Raw genomic sequence first — 1593 nt, 5'->3', positions numbered from 1 at the left:
TATGTATATTTTACCACATTAAAAAGAAACAAAACAAAACAAAAGTAAAGGCACAACTCTGACAAATGCTTAAGAAGGGCAGCACACAAAGGCAAAATGACCTCCTCTTGTTGGTCAGGAAGGTCTCCCGGAGGATGGGTAAACTGAGAGCTGAAGAATGAATACAAGCTGGCTTGATATAGAATTGAAGGAAGACTACCCAGGCAGAAGGACTGGCACTTTCAACAGGTGGGAAGGAGGCTGCTGTGCACCAGGGACAGAAGGGAGGTCAGTATGGTTGCCATCAGTGGAAAAGGGGACCAGGTGCAGGCTGGGGCTGGACACCAAGGAGGGGCCACTCCCCAAAGAGCCTTGTAAACTCTGCTAAGGAACTTGATCTTTATCCTAAGAGTACTAAGGAACCATTCAGTAGTTTTAGACAAGGGGAAACAGGATCAAATGGAGGAAACACGATCAAATTTGCATCCTACTCACTGCTTAGGGGTATGTGTCTGTGTGTGTGTGTGTATTAGAAAGTTCTTCCTTCTATTGACTTATAACTGCCTTCGTTCAGCTTTCTGCTGCTAGTGTTGGTTTCTGCCTTCTTTCTTCCGGAGCTCTGCAGAAACAAGTGTCCTTTCTCTTTTCTGTGAGGGCTTTTAAAACTCCAGCTCTGTTTCAGCTTCTTACTATCCTCATGGTATCCTTCTGTACTTTTTATTTTCAATCCTCCTAATAAAATGTGGCTCCTGGAGTTGAGTACAATCCTCACCTCAGTTTTAGGAACACAAGAAATGCTATTCTCTGTGATCTGGACCCTATACCAGAGCCGCACCCATCACAGACTGTTTCATATTAAGTTGATAGTTAATGAAACAATCCCCACCTCCAGCTTTTTTCAGACACAATGCTAATAAACAGGAGGTTTCTGCCATTCTGATTTTGCCCCTTTTAAAAAAACATAAATAAATAGAACAGCACTGGGTTTCAGCCCTGGCACTGTCACCAACTAGCTACACAATCTCCTCTTTCTTCAGGAATAAACAAGCCACCAAAAGCACGTACTCTGGCCTACTCTCCCCATGCTCTAAGTTTTGCAAGCATTTTTTTCAGGTTAGGAGGTCTGCAGTAGTCCAGTAGGATTCCCTATTGGGAGGGCCACTTCCCTGCATGCTTAAACCAGTTTCTTCATTATCAGCTTTATCAGTGATAATGTAATAGTTTTGATCCCAACTGTCTTACTTCATTATCTTATTTCTCAATTGGTTCAGCACAGAGTAATATTTATTGGGCTCTCCCAAACAATGGGATGATGACCAGTGTTCCTTTTCTAAAATTCCTTGTCTCTGGGTCTATGATTTTACATTTATCTCATTAAATGTCCTTAGGTTGGTTTTAGCCCTTCTTTATTATAGCCCGTTCTTTATTAGGATCCATTAGCACTAATTGGTACTAAGGATAATGGTCTGGAAGAGTTAACTTATTTCCTTAACCAATTAGCTAATTCCAAGGAAGTGATTTTGGTCCTGGAATCCAACCTAGGGAAAGAATGCAGTATGCTGGAATGTGGTCACAGCATGCATTATGTCAGTGCCATATTAACAATTATATGGA

The 1593-nt window shown here is 41.7% G+C and overlaps 1 annotated feature.

Annotated features, from left to right (window-relative positions):
• Nucleotides 243-440: a transcriptional cis regulatory region, noted in NCBI's record as "candidate enhancer chr4.1623 targeted for multiplex CRISPR interference". NCBI's record gives its function as "positively regulates NMU gene expression in K562 cells {active_cell/tissue: K562}" and the evidence as "EXISTENCE:mutant phenotype evidence [ECO:0000015][PMID:30612741]".

Source organism: Homo sapiens, chromosome 4 (assembly GCF_000001405.40).
Source record: "Homo sapiens chromosome 4, GRCh38.p14 Primary Assembly".
Classification (NCBI taxonomy): Eukaryota; Metazoa; Chordata; class Mammalia; order Primates; family Hominidae; genus Homo; species Homo sapiens.
Note: the sequence above shows the minus strand (reverse complement) of the source record. Positions and strands in the feature narration are given on the sequence as shown.